We start from the raw sequence: 24,256 nt of genomic DNA on the forward strand, positions 1-24,256 counted from the left end.
AGTCTGTTGGTTGCTTTTTACAGTATTTTATGTTCCTTCTTCTCTTGCTTCCTGTGTGCTGTGCTGTGAAGCATGACAGAGCACCTGCCTGTGTGTGCACAGCACCGTGAACTCAATCTTTCAGTCACTTTCTTTTCTTTTCATGTTTAAATAAGAGATAAGCCACGTTGGCCAGGGCATGTGGACTCTCCATGGAGTTCACTAACAAACCGAATTTATGTATCGTTGCAAAATAGTCAACACTCCAGTCTGTTAGAAACAGGTGCCAAGAGAGGAAATGTTTAATATTTTCCACGTGGCATGGGCTCTGTCAGACAGTGTTTCCAACCAGAGTCTGTTTTCGCAGTTAAATCATAGGTTCAGAGTCTTCCTTTTGCCTCAAGAGTCTGTCTGGTGGCTGGCTCGCAGCTAGCTTCTGCACAATCCCCTCACTCTGACCCTGCATCTTCAATGCCGCCATTCTGCCAAACCGCTGCTACTTCTGGGTGAAAACCTAGTTCTAGCTCCCTCCAGAGTTAGCTGGTTTGGCTATTTGAAAGCTACTCCTTCAATGAACCGTTCTTTGTCATTTCAGAAATGAACCCTGCTTTCCAGCATTTGGGCTGGACAGGGTTCTCCAGGCTTGCTAACTACAGCAGCTGTTTTCTGTCCCCAGTAAGAGCCAGGGTGACATACCTACCTGCCCAGAGCCACCCTTGACAGGAGACTCAGGGAGAAGTGCCCCCAGGACCAAAGTAAGTAGTGCCATGGCCCAGACTTCCTCTTAGCCCATCCTGCTTCTTCCTCATCCCCTACTTCTCATCCTCTCTGTTTTAATTTCTACTTATTAATATTTTCTTCCCACATATTTAAACAGCTCCCACCAAGGAAATAATGTCAGATGTGTTGCTTTTTCAACTGATGGGTTCTAATCATCATGTTACCAAATTCTGCACATCCTTGCCAAGTAAGGCTTGGCTCTCTAAAGGTTTAGTTTGTTCTTTCTATCAATAAGTATTGCCTCTAACTACGTACTAAAGAGTTCTAGACTCTATGTACCAGACACAATGCTTGCCCTTGTGCTTATCTGCTAATAAGGAAGACAGATAATAAACAAGCAAAACATATAGAATGTTAGCGATAAATGCTCCGGAGAGAGAATAAAGCAGTGATGGTGGGTTGGCGACAGGGGTGGGGCTGAGATTCTAGATGGGGTGGCCAGGGAAGGGGAAGTCCTCTCTGACAAAATGGTATCTGCAAGACCCTTAAAGAAGAGCCGGAGAGAGATGTGTTGGGGAAGCACGTTCCAGGTGATGGATTTCAGGACATATTTTCCCAAAGTATGAACCTTGGAATTAAAGAAAACAGCAGAAGCAGAAGACCTCGCCTGAAGCAGGTCAAATTAAACCTAGGAAGGATTTTTCTGACTTTCCCCTGAAGCAGGTCATAAGACCCTCATTCAAGAGGTACCCTTCCTATACGCAGAGGAAAGGGACATCCTTATCTCTGAAGACCCAGGGACACACGGAAAAATTTGAGCAAAGAACCCTTGCTAAGTTTCCCCCAGTTTATTAGCATTAGGTCATATTTCCTTTGTCCAATCATACTTCTCCATCAAACTAAGCATAAAAAACACACGGGTTTACCTGTTTCTTTGGGTCTTCATTTTCTTATGAAGTCTCCCATGCCATGTAAAACTTATACTAAATACATTTTTATACTTTTCTCTTATTAATCTGTCTTCTATTATAGGGGCCTCAGCTGTGAACCTAAGATGGGAAGGAAAGACATTTATTTTCCTCTACATAGGTCTAGGGGCCATCCTATGCCAAGGTCCTGGGGTGGGAATATGCCCGGGAAGATTAGTGTGGAGGGGGTAGCAGGCTGCTGTGACGATTAAATGTGCATGATGTGCCTGGCATATAGATAGCACTTAATAAGTGGTAGCTATAATTATGAGTCACTCATCAGTTGTTTATGGTTTGATTCATAGAAACAGGTGCATAATTATCTGATTAAGTAGGCCCAAGTCTGTTTCTTGGCTTCAAGAGGAGTGTTCAAGCCTGGGCGTGGTGGCTCATGCCTGTAATCCCAGCACTTTGGGAGCCAAGGTGGGTGGATCACCTGAGGTCAGGAGTTCACCATGTGTGGCCAACATGGTGAAATCCCATCTCTATTAAAAATACAAAAATTAGCAATGCATGGTGGCGCACACCTGTAGTCCCAGCTACTTGGGAGGCTGGGGCAGGAGAATTGCTTGAACCCAGGAGGCGGAGGTTGCAGTGAGCCGAGATCGCACCACTGCACTCCAGCCTGGGCCACAGAATGAGACTCTGTCTAAAAAAACAAACAAACAAACAAACAAACAAAAAAGGAAGAATGTTCAGCGTGATCCCAGCATCCATCCCATCAACATTCCTAGTTTTTCTCCATCAGAAAGGTAATGAGGCCATTGCCCACGCAAAAAATATGTTGATGAGAGGATTTCCTTTACCTACCACGGAGCAGTCATTCTCACAGTGTGGCCCCTTAAGCATCAGCATCAGCATCACCTGGGAACTTGTTAGAAATGCAGATTCTCAAGCTGCACCCAGATCTACAGAATCAGAAACTCTGGAATGGGGCTTGGCTATCAGTGTTTAAAACACTGGGTGATTCTGACGTGTGCTAAACTTTAAGAACGACTGCCTAGAGTTTCTCTGTTCTCAAAGGCAGGGGGAAGCTTCATTATGTCACTCAGTCATTTCCTTTGCCCTCTATGGAGTAGTTACTGAAACGCCAGGGATTTGGTCTAGGTCCTGTTGCTCGCTGCACAGAAAGCCAATCACTGAGTATTGCCAGGGAAGAAGGCTTTATTCAGGTGCTGCAGCGATGGAGAATGGAAGATCAGTTTCAAATTTGTCTCCTCAGCTGACTAAAATTCGGAGTCTATATAGCAGGGAAGAAATGCAACTAAGTGTGGGAAAACAGGAATGAGGGAGGGGATAAGGAAGAAGAGCTGATCCACAGGCAGCAGTTAGGCAATCATGATGGGCAAGGGGTCTGGTGTTTCCCAGATGTGGTGACTGGGTAAGTTTCCATTCCTTGACTCTATCTGGGAGGCCTGATGGCTGGTGTCCTGAGAAAAAAGAACTCAGGTTAGACAAATGTAAGTTTCTCAAGTTTTAAGATTGGGAGGATCAATTTCTGTGTTTATTCAAAAGAAACCATAAACATAAGTTCTATGGAACCAGTGCGCCCATTTGAGAACCACGTTATGAGAAGGACACTTTGTTCTTATTGCTGTTATTTTAAGTTTCCTGAGATGCTCTCTGGCTCTGTATGGTTGTTACTCACCAGGATCTCTAGAGACAGCCCATCTCCCTCCCTAGATTGATGTCACCAAATTCTGAATGAAAACAACTCCAGGTAGGCTCTGAGACCCACCCAGAGGATTTCCTCTACCCTGGTTACTTCCTCCAGCATTTGCAAAAATGGTCCTGATCACCTTGGAGAACTATTTTGATTGTTGTTATTATGGAATTTAAACAAAAACAACAAACAATAAACTTTCAAAACCAGCTTCAGGTTTTCAGACAAGACCCAGAATTTATTCCTTTCCCTGTCCCAGGATGATGTTATCTTGCTATGTTCTGTGAATCAGATGGAGCATGATGCTCCAGGAACCAGGGCCACTTCCAGTAACCTTTCCAGCATTGAGAGGCCAAGTGGCCTAACTTTTCCATAGGAAATGGTGCAGTTGACTTATGAAACAACCCTGCTGGTCCTGCATTGGACTGACTCGGGGAAGGGTGGGCTGGAGGCAGAATGGAAAGGAAGGGTCTCTGGAAATCTGATTTATTGCTCCTTAGTTCAAACCCTTCTGGTAATTACTGTTGGTATAAGTTGGCATTCTCAAAATTACCCCAAAATGGAATTACCTGGGGTTCTGTTTAAAATGTCAATTTTGGGGACTCCAAGTGCTTCTAATGCAAGTGGTCCTTCACATTTTTGGAAATATAGGAAGGATATGGCCTAAATTTCTTAACTTCACAGGAAAAGTTTCTTCATGATGCAGGGGCTGCTACTTCTCTAGAACAATCTCTTACCAGCCTCCTTTTGCCATTTAGAATAATATTTGTTCTTTTTTTTGGTAGTCTTTTACATATTTTATTTTATTTTATTTTATTTTATTTTATTTTACTTTAAGTTCTAGGATACATGTGCAGAATGTGCAGGTTTGTATATATATATGCAGGTTTGTATATACCTATACATAGGTATATATGTGCCATGGTGGTTTGCTGCACCTATCAACCTGTCATGTAGGTTTTAAGCCCCACATGCATTAGGTATTTTTCCTAATGTTCTCCTTCACCTTGCCCCCACCCCCCAACAGGCTCCCCGTGTGTGTTGTTCCCCTTCCTGTGTCCATGTGTTCTCTTTTTTCAACTCCCACTTATGAGTGAGAACATGCAGTATTTGGTTTTCTGTTCCTTTGTTAGGTTGCTGAGGATGATGGCTTCTAGCTTCATCCATGTCCCTGCAAAGGACATGATCTCATACTTTTTTATGGCTGCATAGTATTCCATGGTGGATATGTATCACATTTTCTTTATCCAGTCTATCAGTGATGGGCATTTGGGTTGGTTCCATGTCTTTGCTATTGTAAATAGTGCTGCAATAAACATACGTGTGCATGTGTCTTTATAGTAGAATGATTATATTTCTTTGGGTATATACCCAGTAATGGGATTGCTGGGTCAAATGGTATTTCTGGTTCTAGATCCTTGAGGAAACACCACACTGTCTTCCACAATGGTTGAACTAATTTACATTCCCACCAAGAGTGTAAAAGTGTTCCTATTTCTCCAAATCCTTGCCAACATCTGTTGTTTCCTGACTTTTTAATAATCACCATTCTGACTGGCGTGAGATGGTATCTCATTGTGGTTTTGATTTGCATTTCTCTAATGATCAGTATGATGAGTTTTTTTCATATGTTTGTTGGCCACATAAATGTCTTCTTTTGAGAAGTGCCTGCTCATATCCTTTGCCCACTTTTTGATGGGGTTGGTTTTTTTCTTGTAAATTTGTTTAAGTTCCTTGTAGATTCTGGATATTAGACCTTTGTCAGATGAGTAGATTGCAAAAATTTTCTCCCATTCTGTAAGTTGCCTATTCACTCTGTTTGCAAATGATATGATTCTATATTTAGAAAACCCCATCGTCTCAGCCCAAAAACTCCTTAAGCTGATAAGCAACTTAAGCAAAGTCTGAGGATACAAAATCAATGTGCAAAAATCACAAACATTCCTATACACCAACAATAGACAAACAGAGAGCCAAATCATGAATGAACTCCCATTCACAATTGCCACAAAGAGAATAAAATACCTAGGAATACAGCTTACAAGGGACGTGAAGGACATCTTCAAGGAGAACTACACACCATTGCTCAAGGAAATAAAAGACACAAACGAATGGAAAAACATTTTGTGCTTATGGATAGGAAGAATCAATATCATGAAAATGGCCATACTGCCCAAAGTAATTTATAGATTCGATGCTATTCCCATCAAACTATCATTGACTTTCTTCACAGAATTAGAAGAAAACTACTTTAAATTTCATATGGAACCAAAAAAGAGCCCATATAGCTAAGACAATCCTAAGCCAAAAAACAAAGCTGGAGGCATCATGCTACCTGACTTCAAACTCTACTACAAGGCTACAGTAACCAAAACACCATGGTACTGGTACCAAAACAGACATACAGACCAATGGAACAGAACAGAGGCCTCAGAAATAACACCACACATCTACAACCATCTGATCTTTGACAAACCTGACATATATTTTATACATATAGTTTCTTCTTAGAAATTTTATTAGAAAGGTCTGCTAAAATTTATTTAAAATATTTTCAGCATCAATTTGATCATTTCTTAAAATTTAGCTTATTTATTTAGAGACAGGTTCTCACTCTGTCCCCAGGCTGGAGTGCAGTGGTGTGATCATAGCTCACTGCAGCCTCAAACTCCTAGGCTCAAGCAATCCTCCTGCCTTAGCCTCCTGAGTAGTTGGGATTACAGGCATGAGCCACTGATGTGTGTGTCTGTATGTGTATAGATAGATAGATATACATAGATAGATTATTTATACAGAGAAATGTTACCATTCTCATTCCTCATCCTCTGTGTTGGCTTGATCTTTCACTGTTTTGTCATCAGTGATCTACAATATCACAATGATGTGCTTTGGTGTTGGGTATTTTTTGTCCTTGATGCTTGGTTCTGGGTAGACACTCACTCTGTTCTGGGAAATTTCCTTGATAATTTTATTTCCTCTGTTTTCCCTTTCTGGAACTCTTTGTCATTCAAATATTGGACTTCCTCAACTGATTTGATTTTTGGATTTTATCTTTTCTCTCTTTATTTCTCTCTCTCTCTTTCTTTCTCTCTCTCTCTCTCTGCTTTCTTGGAGACTTCATCTTCCAACTAGGGTTACCCGATAAAACACAGGATACCTAGGCAAATTTGAATTTCAGACGAACTAAATCTTACATGGGACACACTTATACAAAAAAGTTATTATTTTTATTTTATTTATTTATTTATTTATTTATTTTTTGAGATGGAGTCTCACTCTGTTGCCCAGGTTGGAGTACAGTGGCATGATCTCGGCTCACTGCAAGCTCCGCCTCCTGGGTTCACACCGTTCTCCTGCCTCAGCCTCCCGAGCAGCTGGGACTACAGGCACCCACCACCACACCTGGCTAATTTTTTGTATTTTTAGTAGAGACTGGGTTTCACCGTGTTAGCCAGGATGGTCTCAATCCCCTGACCTCGTGATCCACCCATCTCGGCCTCCCAAAGTGCTGGGATTACAGGTGTGAGCCACCGCGTCCGGCCTTATTTGTTGTTTTTATAAAATTCAAATTAAATGGAGAGTCCTGAACTTTTCTTTGCTAAATTTGACACTTTTTTTTTTTTGAGATGGATTCTCGCTCTATCATCCAGACTGGAGTGCAGTGGCACAATCTCAGCTCACTGCAACCTCCACCTCCTGGGTTCAAGCAATTCTCCTGCCTCAGCCTCCCTAGTAGCTGGGATTACAGGTGCACACCACCATGCCTGGCTAATTTTTGTATTTTTGGTAGAGACAGGGTTTCACCATGCTGGCCAGGCTGGTCTCAAATTCCTGACTTCAAGTGATCCACCCACCTTGGCCTCCCAAAGTGCTTGGATTACAGGCATGAGCCACCGTCCTCTGGCCAATTTGACAAAACTTCTAACTTTACTATTGAATTGTTCCTTTATGTGGTCCCTTTTTTAATCTCCAAGATCTCTCAATTGTTCTCTAAATGTTTCATTATAATAGCCTCTTTTGTTTCTTGAATAGGATACCTTCTCTTTTCTCTCTAGAGAGATTGAGGGCTTTTAAGAAGCTTCCTTCTGTCTGGGAGTGGTGGCTTACGCCTATAACACCAGTACTTGGGAGACTGAGGCAGGTGAATAGCTTGAGCCCAGGAGTTCCAGGATCAGCCTGAGCAACATAGCAAAATAAATAAATAAAAGCTTCCTTCTGCTGCCACTTTCTCTCTCTGGCTCTGTCTCTTTTTTTTTTTTTTTTTTTTTTTTTTTTTTTTGGTCTCTGCCTTTCATGTTAGATTTCCTCACATGTCTGGTGGTCCTTTCTTAACAGTAGCAAATACTTCTGTTCATATTTAAGAGTGATGCACTAAATGGCTATTTGGGAGTTGTTCAGGGATGTAGGTGGAACCTGTTCATTGATTGGGCTCTGTACCACTATCTGTTTCACTGGGGGCTTCTGTCAATATCTTTAAGTCTTCTCTCCTTAGCTGGTCAGGTTCCCAAAGAGAAACCCTCTAATTTCCCTCCTGGAAGGGAGAAGCGTGACTGTTAGCATTCTGGGAGGTAAAGTCTAGAGGAAGACTAGGGCCAAGCGGTCTCACTTTTCTGTAACTAATCTCCTAATCCCCATTTTCAGCATGGGATCCCTGCCTCAGTGTGCCTGGTGTCCCTGAGTTCAGAATCCCTCTGGCTCAACCTCTTCAGAGAGTCTTGCATCAACAGGAAGTAGAGGGCCCTTCATCCTGTGTAAGGCAAGGGAAGTGACCTGGGAGACTATTCCTTACGTAGATTTTAAATTAATTTTCCTGTTTTTTCCACTCCTCTTAGATCCCCCATTTTCAGAGGTACTTGATTCTTCCAGTTCCTGAACATTTCTGGGGGCAAACTTACTTCTGGCTTGGGTTTCAGCTTTCTGTGATCTGCTAAGTCAGTTACCACTTGTACATGTGTTTCCAAACTTGCAAAATTTTGTTGCTATTGCCTCCTCTCCTATTCTTTTTGTCCTTCAAGTTTATGCCTCTCAAATCATTTTACTGTCATTTTATCAGAATTTTGGGAAAGAACAGTAGCAAATACTTCTGTTCACTACATGAAGCTTAACCAGAGGTGGTGGCTGGTATTTCATTTAGAAACTTGCATCCATTCATAAGTAAGATTACTTTATAATCTTCTATTCTTTTAATATCTTTTATCAGGCTTTTGTATTACAGATTTGCTGGCCCACAAAGTAGTTACCTTTTCATCCTTTTCTATGGCCTGGAGTAATTTAAATAACATGGAATTATCTGTGTTAAAGATTAGATAAAACATGGCTATGAAGTCATCCAGTCCCCTTCCCCTGCCCCTTCTTCTTTCCCATCCCATTCCCCTTCCCCTTTCCTTTCCCCTTTCCTTTTCCCTTTCCTTCCCTTCAAGACTGGGTCTCACTCTATAGCCCGGGCTGGGGTGCAGTGGCACAATCACAGCTCACTCAGCTTTGACTTCCCGGGCTCCAGCGATCCTCCCGCCTTAGCCCCCTGAGTAGCTGGGACCATAGGTACACGCCACCATGCACAGCTAATTTTTGTATTTTTTGTACAGATGGGGTTTCACCATGTTGTCCAGGCTGGTCTCAAACTCCTGGGCTCAAGTGATCTGCCCACCTTGGCCTCCCAAAGTACTGAGATTACGATCATGAGCCACCGCACCTGGCCTTCTTTTTGCAATGGTAGATTTTTTAGTTGCATTTCCAATCTCTTCTATGATAATTAATCTGTTCAAGTTTCCCACATTTCCGTGGATTCATTTTGTTAATTCATATTTTGCTAGAAAATCATTCATTTTCATTAGGTTTTTATACTTGTTGCCCCAAGTTTCTTATAGTAGTCTCTGATGATTTTGTTAGTCTTTATTTGAATGATATCTCCTTTCTCATTCTAATTCTTTCATATTTTTCTTCTTACTCCTTTTTCTTATCAGGCTTTTGAGGAATTTATCTATCTTATTAGTCTTTTTGAAGAGCCATGTTTTGATTTATACTTTCTCTATATATATTTTTTGGTTTGCTTTCTATGAAGATTTTATCTTTGTTAATTTCCTTTTCCTTTTGGTTATTGCTCTTTTTCTAATATCTTAAGATGAATATTTAGTTTCTTTATTTCTCATCTTCTTCCTTAAAAAAATATAAAGCTATAAACGTTCCTCTGAGTAAACCTCCACTGTGTCCCATAGGTTTGGTATAAGTTATTCTTTTCCTTGCTTTATAGTTTGTAATTTTCCTTTAAATTTTCTCTTTGATCCACCTGCTATCTAGTAGCACATTTCTCAATTTCCATGTCATTGAGAATCTTTTAATTACATTATTTGTGTCTCAATTCATTGAATTGTGATCATGTGATCTGCTAGATCTCACTTTTTAAAAATGTATTTTCTTTATGATCAAATACAGAATTTTTTATTCTTTTTCGTGTTTCATAAACACAGCAAAATATGATACTCTCTATTTGAGGGATATAATGTCTACATATAGCCATTAAGTCAATATTATTGATCATATTAGTCAATTCCTTTCTGTCCTTAATTATTGTTTATCTATTAGACCTGTTCACTTATGAGAGAATATGTTGAAGTCCCTCACCTTCATTGTACAGTTTTGTTGGGTTGTTGTTGCATTTCTGATTGTTTTTGCTTTAGGTTTGGCTTCTATATTGTTTGGTACCTAAAGGCTTTTCACTGTTATATTTTCCTTAATGATAGTATTTCTTATATTATCATTACATAGTCACCCCTTGTAGTGCTTTTCTTCTAAAATTCCACTAGGCATTAACATTTCTACTTCTTTCTTTTTGTTTGCATTTGCCTACTCTTTGATTTTCAGCCTTTTTTATTACTATATTTTAATTGTGTTTCTTATATAAATAGGTTTTGCTTTTTTAATCCAGTGGAATAGTTTGTCTTTTAAAGAAAGAATTTAGTCTTCACATTTTGTGTGTGACTGATATAGTACTTGATTTTATTTCTTACAACTTACTTTTTTTTTAATTTTTTTTTTAATTGAGACAAGGTCTCACTCTGCCGCCCAGGCTGGAGTGCAGTAGCATGATCTCGGCTCACTGCAACCTCTGCCTCCTGGGTTCAAGCGATTCTCCTGCCTCGGCCTCCTGAGTAGCTAGGATTATAGGCATGCACCACCACGCCCGGCTAATTTTGTATTTTTAGTAGAGATAGGGTTTCACCATGTTGGCCAGTTTGGTCTGGAACTCCTGACCTCAAGTGATCCACCCGCCTCGGCCTCCCAAAGTGCTAAGATTACAGGCGTGAGCCACCATGCCCACCCCAGCTTACTTTTTCTGTAATTTATTTTTAGTGTTTTTTTCTCTCTTTCCTTTATATTAGCTTGCCTGAACAAATTATTCTTTCCTGGTTGCATTCTGACACATACTCCTCTACCAGCATTTGAAAACAAGACACTATTATCCTCACCAATACTCATCTTTTACCCCACTGAGATGCTTCTGCTTCCTCCTGATCCCTTCACTCTAACAAGATGAGAGCTTTAGGATCATTTTACTTTCTCTCTCCTCCCCTCATTAGCCCCTTAGAATCTTATTTCTCCCTCTCCTTCCACCCACCAAAAGTTGCTATTTTCTCATTTAAGCTCCTATCCCCACCCCTCCCCGACTCAGACACTCCTCTCCAAGCTTTAGCTTGCTGGGAGTGTGTTCTGCTTTTCTAACTGATTCTCCTCTCTCTCTGGCTGCTGGCCCTTTTTAAAATGGGTTGTTATTTTTTTCTGTGGGCTCATAGGTCTCAGGGTTTGGTGGCTTGTGTGTTCTAAGTGGCGGGAGCCCCATGGGTGGCAGAAGGTCCCCACAGACTGAATTGTAGAAGCCGCCAGCCCCCTGCTAATCACCTGTAGGAAACTCCCCAAACTTCTCACACTGCCCCAGCTTCCAGGTAGAGGACTCAGTCTCCCATTCAGCTCCTCCTTGGCCCCTTCAGCTAGGAAAACCCAGCACAGTCACACTAGGCTTGTGTTGACATTAGCCCTGACAGCCCCTCTCCACTCAGGATTGACTGTCTTCCCTTGTTCACCTTTGACATTATTCTCTAGGCACCTGCCCAGCCCACTGGAAGAAGGAAGCTTACAATTCTGTATGCTTGGAACCCACCAAAGCCTGAGGCCTCACTGGCACCCAGCCATCCACAGGAGTTAGCAGCTGTTTGAGTCCAGAAGGAAGAACTTTTGGAGTCGGAGGTGGGAAAGATAGAAATTGCATCCAAATTATCACATTCCCAGAACCCTCTTTTGGCCCTGTAAGTTATTCCCATAGCCATTGATCATGCAATAGCCTGGATGAAAAGAGTAGAGCTGGAATGAATAGCTACAGTCCTGGTTAACAACAGCTTGAATACAAGCTCATTCCACTCCCAAGTTTCAGGCTGGCCTATCTGGGAGACAAATGCCAACTACTGTGGTCCTACACATTTTTACCACCACTGCATGCAGAGATAAGAGAGAGTTACTGCACTTTCATTATGAAAAAAAGCAACCAAAATGGCTTGGAGTAAAAATGTAAATTTTTCCTAACCCTGCTTTATCTGATGAGATATCCACCTGCAGTGAGGAATCACTGCCAGTTTCCCCTCAGAAGGTGTAAAGATCAGGCTAGTTCTGGGAAGGAAGATTGAGTGAGCATATTATTAACCTAAATGGAATTAGATTTCCGTTTCAATAAAGATTCCCATTAAGGCTGCAAGCAATACAGCGACAGCAGTGCAGCCATAACCACCCACTGCCTGTAGGAAGATGTGCTTGAATTACACCTGGCTGTGCACCCCATTATCACTTCACAAAAGGTAGTAACTTGAGGTGGACCTCTGTGGTCACCGTGTCCTTCTGCTGATGCCACAAAGGAATCCTAGCTTGGATGCAATCAATAATCCAAACATACATTACTCATGTATCAGCATATGACAAGAGGATGACAGTGGTTAATCAGCTAATTATGACATGCTCTTTTCATCCCATAGTGTATGACTTATTGAATATTCTTGTATTTTTATGTTTAGTTGCAATGGAAAGGGTATGGCAACTATATTTTATTCAAACTGTGTCCATCAAGAAGGGCAAATCCGTATGTATGTGTGATTTTGTTTTTGTTTTTGTTTTTTTTGAGACAGAGTTTCGCTCCTCTTGCCCAGGCTGGAGTGCAATTGCGCGATCTTGGGTCACTGCAACCTTCGCCTCCCAGATACAAGCGATTCTCCTGCCTCAGCCTCCTGAGTAGCTGGGATTATAGGCGTGCACCACCATGCCTGGCTAATTTTTTTGTATTTTTAGTAGAGACGGGATTTCACCGTGTTGGCCAGGCTGGTCTCAAACTCCTGACCTCAGATGATCCACCCGACTAGGCCTCCCAGAGTGTTGGGATTACAGGGGTGAGCCACCACAACCAGCGAAATCCATGTTTTTATATCCCTGGGGGAGGCATTGCCAGGGCCTGCCATACTGGGGTAAGCAGCTACTCCAGAGTCTTTGTCCTGTTTACCTATTTCAAGTCTAATGAAAATGTCAATTCTCTTTTAAAAGACTTAGGAAAGACGTCACACACTGGCATCCTGTGAGCTGCTGCAGCCCTCAGATTTGTTTTGTATGAGCAGCAGGTTTTTTCATTGTGTTTTTGTTTTTGTTTTTTTCAATGAATTCACTGCCAGTCTTCAAAACTCTGCCCTCAGATTTGTTTTGTATGAGCAGCAGGTTTTCTCATTTTGTGTGTGTGTGTGTGTGTGTGTGTGTGTGTGTGTGTGTGTGTGTTTAATGAATTCAGAGTCTCTAAAAAAAACTAAGAAAATCTAACAGAAAAGTCTGGACTTCTAGTTTTTCTTGGAAAAAAAGATTGTCTGGCTATCCTGGGCCCAAATTCCCTCATGCTGACAAGTGGCAAGACTGAACAGCAACTGTTTCTGCGCTCCCGCTGGCCCCAGGGGAGGGCCGCTTTTTAATTTTACACCCAGCAGCTTCTTTCCCTTTTATCACCTGGCTACCTGCTGACTTGAGAGTACCATAAGGTAGAAACAGTCACCAGAAGACCACAGTTCCAGTCCCCACTGCACTGGGAAACCCTGGGCACCTACCATCACAATTTTAAGCCCTTCTTGCATATGAGGAGACTGGAGCCAGGGTGGTGAAGTGGCTTGCCCGAAGGCATTAGCCCAGTGTTCTTTCCAATGCACCAGTGATGAGCAACCTAAATGCAGACAAAAGTGCTTCTGTTGCTCAGAGAAAAGGTAGGGCACCGGGAGCTGAAGGCGCAGGGAGGAGGGTGCGGTGCAGGATGACTGCCTCACTTGCCAGATGTGTCTAAAAGAAGAATCCCCATTCTCTTCCTGTTTCCTCTATAGACAAATAATGTTCACCACTCCACTTCCTTGTTCCTTCACACCTGCTACTTTGGATTCAGACGAGAAGTTCCAAGAATCCCTGAGTCCACAGCATGACTCTGGTTTGCAGAACCTCTGTCCAGACCAGCCAGATCAGAATACAAAGGAAAGTGACACATCCTGGATCTCAACCCACTTCGATGGGAAGTCTTCCTGATAAATTTAGAGATAACCTAAAGCCCTTGGGGACTTCCTCTTGATTTGAATCTGCTGAACACCTGCCGCACCCCCACCGCACCCCCCCCCCCCGCCCCCCGCCACCGCAGATGAAAACATCAACTCTGCAGAATTAATGGATATGGGAATCACCTGGGGACCTCTCATTAAATTGCAAATTATGATTCAGAGGGTCTGGGGAGGGACAGAGACTCTGCATTTCTAACAAGCTCTCCGGTGGTGCCCACGCATCACCGGGGCCGGAGAACCTTCCATCATTCCAGCAATGCTCACCATCACTGCCATTCTTGCTCTTCTTTCTGGGGCCGTTGCCCATTTTCTCCATGGTATCCTTCTTTTTTCCTATTCTTTTCCTCTTTTAATCCTTTTTTTCTTCCCAGCCAACTCACTATTCCTATATCCCTGCTAACCCTCAATGCTCCTTCACTCAAAGATGAAGAAACTCCTGCCCTTTCTTCCTCCAGACATTCATCTCCCTCCCTCCCTCCTCTCCTCAGCTTTGTAGTGCCAGGAAAAGAAAGATCACCATTTACTGACAATTTTGTGTGAAGCACTGTCCCAAGTGCATTACCCATATTACTTAACTCTCACAACAACCCTGCAAAGTACACATTATTTCTGCCATTTTAGACATGAGAAAATTGGGACTTGGGGTGGTTAAAGAAATCTTGTCCTCAACCAGGAAGTAGTGATCTGAGATTAGAATTTAGATCTGTCTGAGGCCAAAGTCTACAACTTCTATACTGCACCATGCTCATATAAGGTGAACAATCTAGAAGGCAGCTGGTAGGAGTGGCTTCAGTAAAAAGGAATGGAATACCACGAGCTTCACCCCATTTATGCATCCTGAACCCTTCACTCCACTTTTGTTAAGTACATGCCCTATGAGACGGTTTGACATACCAATAATGAGAGCTGTTTCAAGAATGCCCAGATTAGCTAGGATGGTTGGGACCTAAATAGCACAGTAGTAATATTAAAGCCCAAAGTTGCCAATATGCTCAATTTTCAATGTAACCTTTTATTATAAATTAAGACCCATAACTGTACACACAGAGTCTGTTACCAAAAAAGAAATTCCTTCCATTGGCCAATTATTCAACCACATGAAGTCTACTAAAGGATGATGCCAAGCCACCCATCAGTCCACACAGGATCCATCATGGATGGATAGCCAGTTCCTTTTTCTCTCTCTAGTTTCTCTTCCTTGATTCCACCTCTAGGATCCCCTCGCTCTCTTATTGTCCTTTGCCTTGTCCTCAAGATCCTACCAAGAGTCCTGGCTTCCCACCTGGGAGCATGTACCAGTTCTCCAAACCTTTGTGTGTTTCTGATTCCTCAGACTACCGCATCTACAAACTAGGAAACTGTACTCTTGCTTATACTGGCCCTCTCCCTCCCTTGACTTTTATTAGATACATCAAAACAAAACAAAAAACTCCTTTTAAATTCTGTTAAAGATCCTGCAAGGTATGAAGGGAGGAGAAAAGGCAGGGGCTGGGTATGAGGAAAAGTCCATCTTGACATACAAAAATGTTAAAAGTCTATATACTCAAAGGAGAAGTGAAGAGTCAGACTTTTACATGTGGAACAGACAGGAAAACTGGGAGCAATATGGTGTAGTCATCAGATGTGGGTTCTAAATTCATCTCAGCTACCAACCAGCAGTGCAACCTTGGATAAGCTGTGTATTTTTCTCAATACCAGTTTCTTCATCTTTAAAGTGTGGAGATTGGATTGAACAATTACTAAGATTCCTTTGTTCTCTACTCTGCAGTGTCATCTCTAGCACCTAAAATAAAATAAACCAGAAATTAATGAAAGAGTGAAAATAATATTGCTCTAACCAGAAACTGAGATACTTGATTGAGTAAATGCATGAAAACAAGAAGGTAAAGAAACCATGATTAATAATAATAAATGAATAATAATAACAATAAAATATAAAAAATTAAATAAAGACAAAAATGAATGAGCCTATAGTTTTACTTTTTAAGAAGATGTTAAATGCCCTTCCAAAGTGGCCACTCATTATCCATAGCTATCAGTTACTTGTAAAATACACTGTTGGGACAATGCATATTCTATTCAGAAGTATATTGCCACTTAAAAACCTTGTTTTCCAATAAAAGCATTGAGTTATAAAATCAACCAACATTTTTATTCTAAACTATGGTAGGTAGATCAGAAATAAAATTAGGTCAACATGAATAATTTCCTTCATGGCAGGTTACGGAATTTAATGTACGTGATATTTTCCCTCTTTGAAGTTAACATGTAATTATGTTTGCTTTATGCCAATTTATCTGCTTCTAAATGTTCCAAACTGAAAAAAGGAAAACAAAGCCTGCCTGTAGCTGCCTCTTCCTTCATATACACACCAGGCCAAAAGACAGAATGGCTGGAGGCATGGTCTCCAAGTGTGTGCTTTGCGGGAGGCCTACCCACCCTAAAAGTATAAGGGCAAAAGTGTATCTCTTTGTGTTTTGGAGCTGACTGGCTCAGTAAAATTTTCTAAGTCAGTCTGCACGTACACCACTTCCTCAGTCTTATAAGTGAGGACGCCCTCCTGCATCTGGCCCTTAGAAACCTGACCCCTCCTGATTGGTCATCACTTATTTTCTGGGAATCAGCTTTCATCAGCCCAAACCCTTCCAGCAGAAGGATGCCCCAGCCTCTCTACTCAGGGGATAACTTGCCCAGGAGAAACATTTTTTGTGATGATGTTCTTCTCATTCTCTTTCTTCTGTAACCCCATCCTGGCCTCAGGTACCCATGGTCTCTATGCCAAAATCACAGGTGAAAATTATATTTTGATTATTTGGCTTAGATTCTCTCCAGGCCTGACTTTCAACTACCATTGAAATGATTCTCCTAAATAAATATTACCTGAGAAAACCCAAGTTCCACCATTTGGGTCTGTCATGTTCCCAGATGAGGGAAGCAACAGGCATCAAGAATTCCAGAACGTTAGAATCCTTAAGTGGATCGAAAGACAAATTTGAAGGAAAATCTTACCTCTTGCCACTCTCCACTAACAACTAGGGCTTATTCGTTTTTTACTCTTCATCAAGAACAATAAAAATAAAATATACAGCTGGGCACGGTGGCTCATGCTTATAATCCCAGCACTTTGGGAAGCCGAGGTGGATGGATCACTGGAGGCCAGGAGTTCGAGACCAGCCTGACCAACATGGTGAAACCCCGTCTCTACTAAAAATACAAAAATTAGCCGGGTATGGTGGTATGCACCTGTAGTCCCAACCACTCGGGAGGCTGAGGCACAAGAATCGCTTGAACACAGGAAGCAGAGGCTACAGTGAGCAGAGATCGTGTTGCTGCACTCCAGCCTGGGTGACAGAGCAAGACTCTGTCTCAAAAAAAAAAAAAAAAAAAAAAAAAAAAAAAAAAAAATATATATATATATATATATATATATATATATATATATATATATATATGGCTGAATATATGGGTTGCAAATTGACCTGAGCCAATTTATCACTCCAACCTGGGAGGTGGATGTTGCAGTGAGCCAAATTGCGCCCCTGCAATCCAGCCTGGGTGACAGAGTGAGGGTCTGTCTCAAAAAAAAAAAAAATATATATATATATATATATACACACACACACACATACGTATATATGTGTGTATATATACATATGTGTGTGTATATATACATATACATATGTGTGTGTATACATACATATACATATGTGTATACACACACATATACATGTATGTGTATACACACACATATACATGTATGTGTGTATACACACATATACATGTATGTGTGTATACACACACATATACATGTATGTGTGTATACACACACATATACATGTATGTGTGTATACACACACATGCATGTATGTGTGTATACACACACATGCATGTATGTGTGTATACACACACATGCATGTATGTGTGTATACACACATATGCATGTATGTGTGTATACACACATATGCATGTATGTGTGTATACACACATATGTGTATATATACACATATATACGTGTGTGTATATATGTATATATATATATACACACATATATATATACACACACACATATATATATATATATCCTTGCTCCCAGGTGGTTCATTATGATGAAAGCTAGTCTTAGGCCAGTTTCTGACAAACTTACAAAGCTTTATTAGCAAGCAGGCCCCCGAATCATCATGGAACCCTTCTTCTAGTCTTGGTTCTAAGTCCCCCCAATTGTGGAGATGGGGTCTTGCTATTTTGCCCAGGCTGGTCTCAAACTTTGGCCTCGCCTTGGCCTCCTGAAATGCTAGGATTACAGGTATGAGTCACCATGCCTGGCCTATATTTATTTTCTTACTTATTGTTTTTCTTCCCCTCCTAGAATGTGGGTTCCCTGAGGTTAAGGACTTCATCTCCTTTATTCACTACTGCATTCTCCAGATACAGCCTAGAGCAATACTTCACATGCAGGAGATGCTCAATGAGTAACTGTTGAAGGAATGGATGCTGTGTCCCAGAAGAGACCTTAGAGGTCGGACCTGGTCTGGTCTCAATTCAGAGAAGGACCAGGCTGTCATCACACATTAAGTGAGTGGTGGAGCTGGGACAAGAATCTAGGTCTCCTTTTTCTTGTCCACTGCTCTTCCCACTCTTCTCCGTTCTGTGCATAGGTGAAAGCTCAACACCATCAATTGATAATTAAGTAAAATAATGGGGAATAGGATTGAATGTGTTCCTGAAGGTTTTGCTAAATAAAACGATACTGCTCTTTTAATCTATGAATTGATTATCCAAAGCAAATGTCAACGGTGAGTAGAAGGCAGCAAGGCATGAGTTATTGTAACTGATAAAGCAGGGGTGGCGCAGTGCGGGGTTGGTGGGGAGGTGATTGATCAAGTGAGTCATCATCCTGCCCCAGGGAACAATGGTCTGAGTTGTCTGCAAGGTAAATGACTCTGGTAAATAACTCAGTTTGTTCCTTTGATTAACAGGGGAGGGTTGGTCCTAGCAGCTCTGCTCAATGGCCCCTTTCATTGTGTTCTTTACCTGAGCAGTGGCTCCAAGAGCCACTCTTAATAAAGCCAGTGTCTAACCTACAAAGCCCAGAAAGTAAATCTCTCTTCTGTGAAGGGGCTTAGGCTCCTTTTGCAGAGAGAATGCATGTAGAGAAGAATGCTCTCCACCCACATCTTCTTCCATCCCTTTCCTTGTTCCATCCCTCACCATGCTTTTTAGTAAACTCTGCTCTGCTAAAATAATTTAATTAAGCTAAAACAACTCCCTAGGTTCCCAGATCATTTCTTTCTTTCTTTCTTTTTTTGAGATGGAGTCTTGCTCTGTCACTCAGGCTGGAGTGCAGTGGCGCAATCTCAGCTCACTGCAACCTCTGCCTCCTGGGTTCAAGCAATTCTTCTGCCTCAGCCTCCCTAGTAGCTGGGACTACAGGCATGTGCCACAATGCCCAGCTAATTTTTGTATTTTTAGTAGAGATGGGGTTTCACCTTATTGGCCAGGCTGATCTTGAACTACTGACTTCAAGTGACTTCAGCCTTCCAAATGCTGGGATTACAGGCGTGAGCCACTGCGCCCGGCCCCAGGTCATTTCTTTTGCCACCTTGTTTTCATGTGCTTTCCTTTCTCTGTACGCTATTCAAATATATTTTCTGTAATGGCTGGACATTGAGATGGTAGGCAAACTAAAACAAAAATTGTGTTATTTTATTTGCATATTTCCACAATTTCTCCAGCAATATGATAGATTGGAATGATAGAGGGGTTTAAGAGGTTAATTTTAAAAAATTAATATTTAATTGACAAAACTGTATATATTTATCATATATAACATAATGTTTTGAAATATGTATACATTGTAAAATGGCTAAACTAAGCTAATTATCATATGCATTGCCTCACATACTTATTTTTTTTGTGGTGAGAACACTTAAAATCTACTCTTAGTGATTTTCAGAATACAATACAATACATTGTTATTAACTATAGTTACCATGTTGTACAAAGATGTCAAATGTATAGGCAGGATATGTCAGAAAGTTATATCTCTAATTTAAAATAATTCTGGGCCGGCACAGTGGCTCACACCTGTAATCCCAGCATTTTGGGAGGCCGAGGCTGGTGGATTACCTGAGGTCAGGAGTTCGAGACCAGCCTGGCCAACATGGTGAAACCCTGTCTCTACTAAAAATACAAAAAATTAGCCGGGTATTGTGGCGAGCACCTGTGATCCCAGCTAATCGGGAGGCGGAGGCAGGAGAATCACTTGAACCGGGAGGTGGTGGTTGCAGTGAGCCGAGATCTCACCACTGCCCTCCAGCCTGGGCAACAGAGTGAGACTCCATCTCAAAAAAAAAAATAATAATAAAATAAAATAATTCTGCATAACCACTATGATATACCTCTGTGTAGTTTAATATCACTCTAGGCAGCATGGACAGCATTTGAAAGAACCTAATTAGGAAACCATGATCTAGAAGTGGTTATGTAAGCTTTATAAATATTCTTATAAATATCTACACCAGAGAGTGTGTTTAGCCAATTTTAAACCACCTCCCCACCAACCCCGCACTGCGCCACCCCTGCTTTATCAGTTACAATAACTCATGCCTTGCTGCCTTCTACTCACCGTTGACATTTGCTTTGGATAATCAATTCATAGATTAAAAGAGCAGTATCGTTTTATTTAGCAAAACCTTCAGGAACACATTCAATCCTATTCCCCATTATTTTACTTAATTATCAATTGATGGTGTTGAGCTTTCACCTATGCACAGAACGGAGAAGAGTGGGAAGAGCAGTGGACAAGAAAAAGGAGACCTAGATTCTTGTCCCAGCTCCACCACTCACTTAATGTGTGATGACAGCCTGGTCCTTCTCTGAATTGAGACCAGACCAGGTCCGACCTCTAAGGTCTCTTCTGGGACACAGCATCCATTCCTTCAACAGTTACTCATTGAGCATCTCCTGCATGTGAAGTATTGCTCTAGGCTGTATCTGGAGAATGCAGTAGTGAATAAAGGAGATGAAGTCCTTAACCTCAGGGAACCCACATTCTAGGAGGGGAAGAAAAACAATAAGTAAGAAAATAAATATAGGCCAGGCATGGTGACTCATACCTGTAATCCTAGCATTTCAGGAGGCCAAGGCAAGAGGCCAAAGTTTGAGACCAGCCTGGGCAAAATAGCAAGACCCCATCTCCACAAAGAAGAGAAAGAAAAAGGAAATAAATACATAATATATCACATTATGTGATAACTGCTATGGAGGGAAATAAAGCGGAGTAAGGGGAATAGGGTCTGGTGCTATGTTGGATGGAAAGGGAAGACCTCGCCAACAAGGGGGCATTTAATCAGAGACCAGGAAGAGCTGAAAGAGTGAACCCTGTGTTCACTGGGTGAGGGGTATTCCAGCAGAGGGAATGGCAAGTGCAGAGCCCCTGAGGTGGGAATGTGCTCCGCATGGTCAAGGAACAGCAAGGCAACCAGTGTGGCTGGAGTAGAGTGAAGAGGGGAGAAGGGTGGGGATGGGCTAGAGGGCTTGGGGCTGGGGACGTGTAGGGCTTGCAGGCATGGAAGATCTTTGGCTTGAACTCTGAGGAACTTGGGAAACCACTGGAGGATTTTTGACCTGAGAACTGCCATTTTCTGACTTTTATTGAAACAGATTCTCTCTGGCTACTGACTATAGAGGAGATTAGAGTACAGAAACAGGCCAGAGATGATGGTGGTTTACACCAGGTTGGCAGTTTGTAGAGGGGGTAAAAAGTGGTCAGTTTCTGTTTCTGGATCTATCTTGAAAACAGAACCAACAGAGTTATGAGACAAAGAGGGGAGTCAAAGACACCTCCATGGTTTTTACAACTGGAAGAGTGATGGATTTTTTCTGTTACTGAGGTGGGGAAGAGTGGATTAGTTTAGCTCGGGACATGCCAAAAACAAGATGCTTATTAGCTGTCTAAGAGATGTTTCATAGCCCATTGTATATATGAGTCTGAAATTCAAGAGGGGTTTGGAATACAGACATACAGCAGGCCCTGACGGTGTCTTGCCAGTCTCTATGTGGCACACCCTGGCAGTTACCTTGACAGCTTGACAGATTGCTTACATACCTGCTGTTGCAGACAGACGGTTAAGGAAGCCTCCATGATTCCTGCCTCTAGGCATTCTCACTTTCGGGTGATGCTTTCCCTGTAAGTGTGGGACCTGTGACACAAATGGAATAAGATACATGTGATAAGATGTGGGTACATGTGGATACATGTGGGTAAGATACATGTGATTATGTATACATGATTACGTGATTACATTCCATAGGAGTGTAGTGCCCACCATGCTAGTCTTTCTCTTGCTGACTACGCGGAAGCAAGTAGCCATGTTGGGCAGTCCTAAATGGCAAAGAACTGGGGGTGTCCTCTGCGAGCTGAGGGTGGTCTCTGGCCAACAATCAACAAAAATCTGAAGCTCTCAGTCCCATAACTACAAGGAACTGGATGCTGCCAACAATTGTGTAAGTGGAGAAGTAGATCCTGGAGACTTTCCCTGGTCATAGGACTATTTCTGGCTTGTTCCCAGAGCACGGCAGAAGTGCAAGGGAGTTCATGTCCCCAGGAGCAACTTTTCACCAATGAGTAATAGGAATTGGTGGATGAATAACCCAGCTTCTTCAATCCTTGTTGGGACAAATCTGAGATGTGCAGTAAAGGCCCAGGACAAATAGCTCAAAGGAACAGAAGGGAGAGAGTCAGAAGCAGATGCATACTTGAAGGAACACTTGATTATGACAAAGGTGGCACTGAAGCATAGTAGGAAAAGAGTGGTCATTTACATCAATGATGTTAAGTTAATAAGACAGTCAAACGGGAAAAAGCAAAACTTGACCTCTACCTCACTCCATATACAAAAATCAATTCCAGGTGGATTGTAGATCTAAATCTGAAAGGTAAAATAATGAAGATTCTAGACAATAACATAAGAGAATAATTTATTATTTTTTAAAATGTATTTTTACTATGCAGCCATAAAAAATGATGAGTTCATGTCCTTTGTAGGGACATGGATGAAATTGGAAATCATCATTCTCAGTAAACTATCGCAAGAACAAAAAACCAAACACCGCATATTCTCACTCATAGGTGGGAATTGAACAATGAGATCACATGGACACAGGAAGGGGAACATCACACTCTGGGGACTGTTGTGGGGTCGGGGGAGGGGGGAGGGATAGCACTGGGAGATATACCTAATGCTAGATGACGAGTTAGTGGGTGCAGTGCACCAGCATGGCACATGTATACATATGTAACTAACCTGCACAATGTGCACATGTACCCTAAAACTTAAAGTATAATAATAAAATAAAATAAAATAAAATAAAATAATATTATTTTTAATAGATGTATCTTTTTAGAGACAGGGTCTCACCCTATCACCCAGGCTGTAATACAGTGGCATGATCATAGCTTACTGCATCTCTGAATTCCTGGGCTCAAGCGATCCTCCTGCCTCAGCCTCCTGAGTAGCTAGGACTATAGGTGCATACCACCAAGCTCAGCTAATTAAACAAATTTTTTTTTTTGTAGAGATGAGGGTCTCAGTATGTTGCCCAGGCTGGTCTTGAACTCCTGGCCTCAAGCAATCCTCCCACCTTGGCCTCCCAAAATGCTGGGATTACAGGCATGAGCCACTGAGCCAGGCCATAAGAGAATAATTTTACATCCTTAGGAGCAGGCAAAGATTTCTTAATCAGGAATTGGAAAGCACTAAATATAAAGCATACACTGTGATAAAACAGTTTCACTCTGAGATACATACCTGAGAGAAATGAGTCCATTTGGTCACCAAAAGACATGCACAAAAATGTGTTAGCAAGATAATTTGTAATAGTTAAAAATAGTAACAGCTTACATGCTCATCAGTGGTAGAATGGATAGACTAAGGTATGTCCAGTCACACGGTGGAACATTATTTGGTCCAGAAAATCAACAAACAGCTGCCTCACACAACACCGATGACTCTCATGAGTCCCATATTGAGCAAAAGAAGCCCTTGGGGGAAGGGATGCAGAATGAAACATGAACTTCAGCTTTATCTAAGGTGTTGTCATTTTGTAGAAACTTATATATGAAACAAAAGTGGAAAATGGCCAACATTTATTAAGCCTGGATAATGAGAACACAGGGGCTATAACATTAGTCTTTGTACTTTTGGGGGTATTTTAAAAATATGCAGCCTCCTCCAAAGACAGAAACAAGCTAAAGCATGATACATGAGCAGAAGTAGTAAGGATGTCCCCAACAAAGTCCAATTTTCTTCTCT

General features: G+C 41.7%; 2 long non-coding RNA genes across 2 annotated transcripts in view; one reads left to right on the forward strand and one right to left on the reverse strand.

The window, feature by feature from the left end:
• The first annotated feature begins 375 nt into the window (after positions 1–375).
• LOC105377927 (uncharacterized) lies at positions 376–13,996 on the forward strand. The gene is made up of 4 exons (XR_942841.3): positions 376–485; positions 575–734; positions 11,428–11,571; positions 13,719–13,996. It is a non-coding gene; the product is annotated as an uncharacterized LOC105377927 (long non-coding RNA).
• Positions 13,997–14,935: 939 nt separating this feature from the next.
• LINC02532 (long intergenic non-protein coding RNA 2532) overlaps positions 14,936–24,256 on the reverse strand; it is a 70,090-nt gene continuing 60,769 nt past the window's right edge. Inside the window, exons 5-7 of the long non-coding RNA NR_033557.2 lie at positions 22,826–22,873; positions 22,051–22,144; positions 14,936–15,726 (exon numbers count right to left, since the gene is read on the reverse strand). This is a non-coding gene — a long non-coding RNA (long intergenic non-protein coding RNA 2532). The remainder of the gene's footprint in view (positions 15,727–22,050; positions 22,145–22,825; positions 22,874–24,256) is intronic.

The sequence above is a fragment of the Homo sapiens genome, chromosome 6, assembly GCF_000001405.40.
Source record: "Homo sapiens chromosome 6, GRCh38.p14 Primary Assembly".
Classification (NCBI taxonomy): Eukaryota; Metazoa; Chordata; class Mammalia; order Primates; family Hominidae; genus Homo; species Homo sapiens.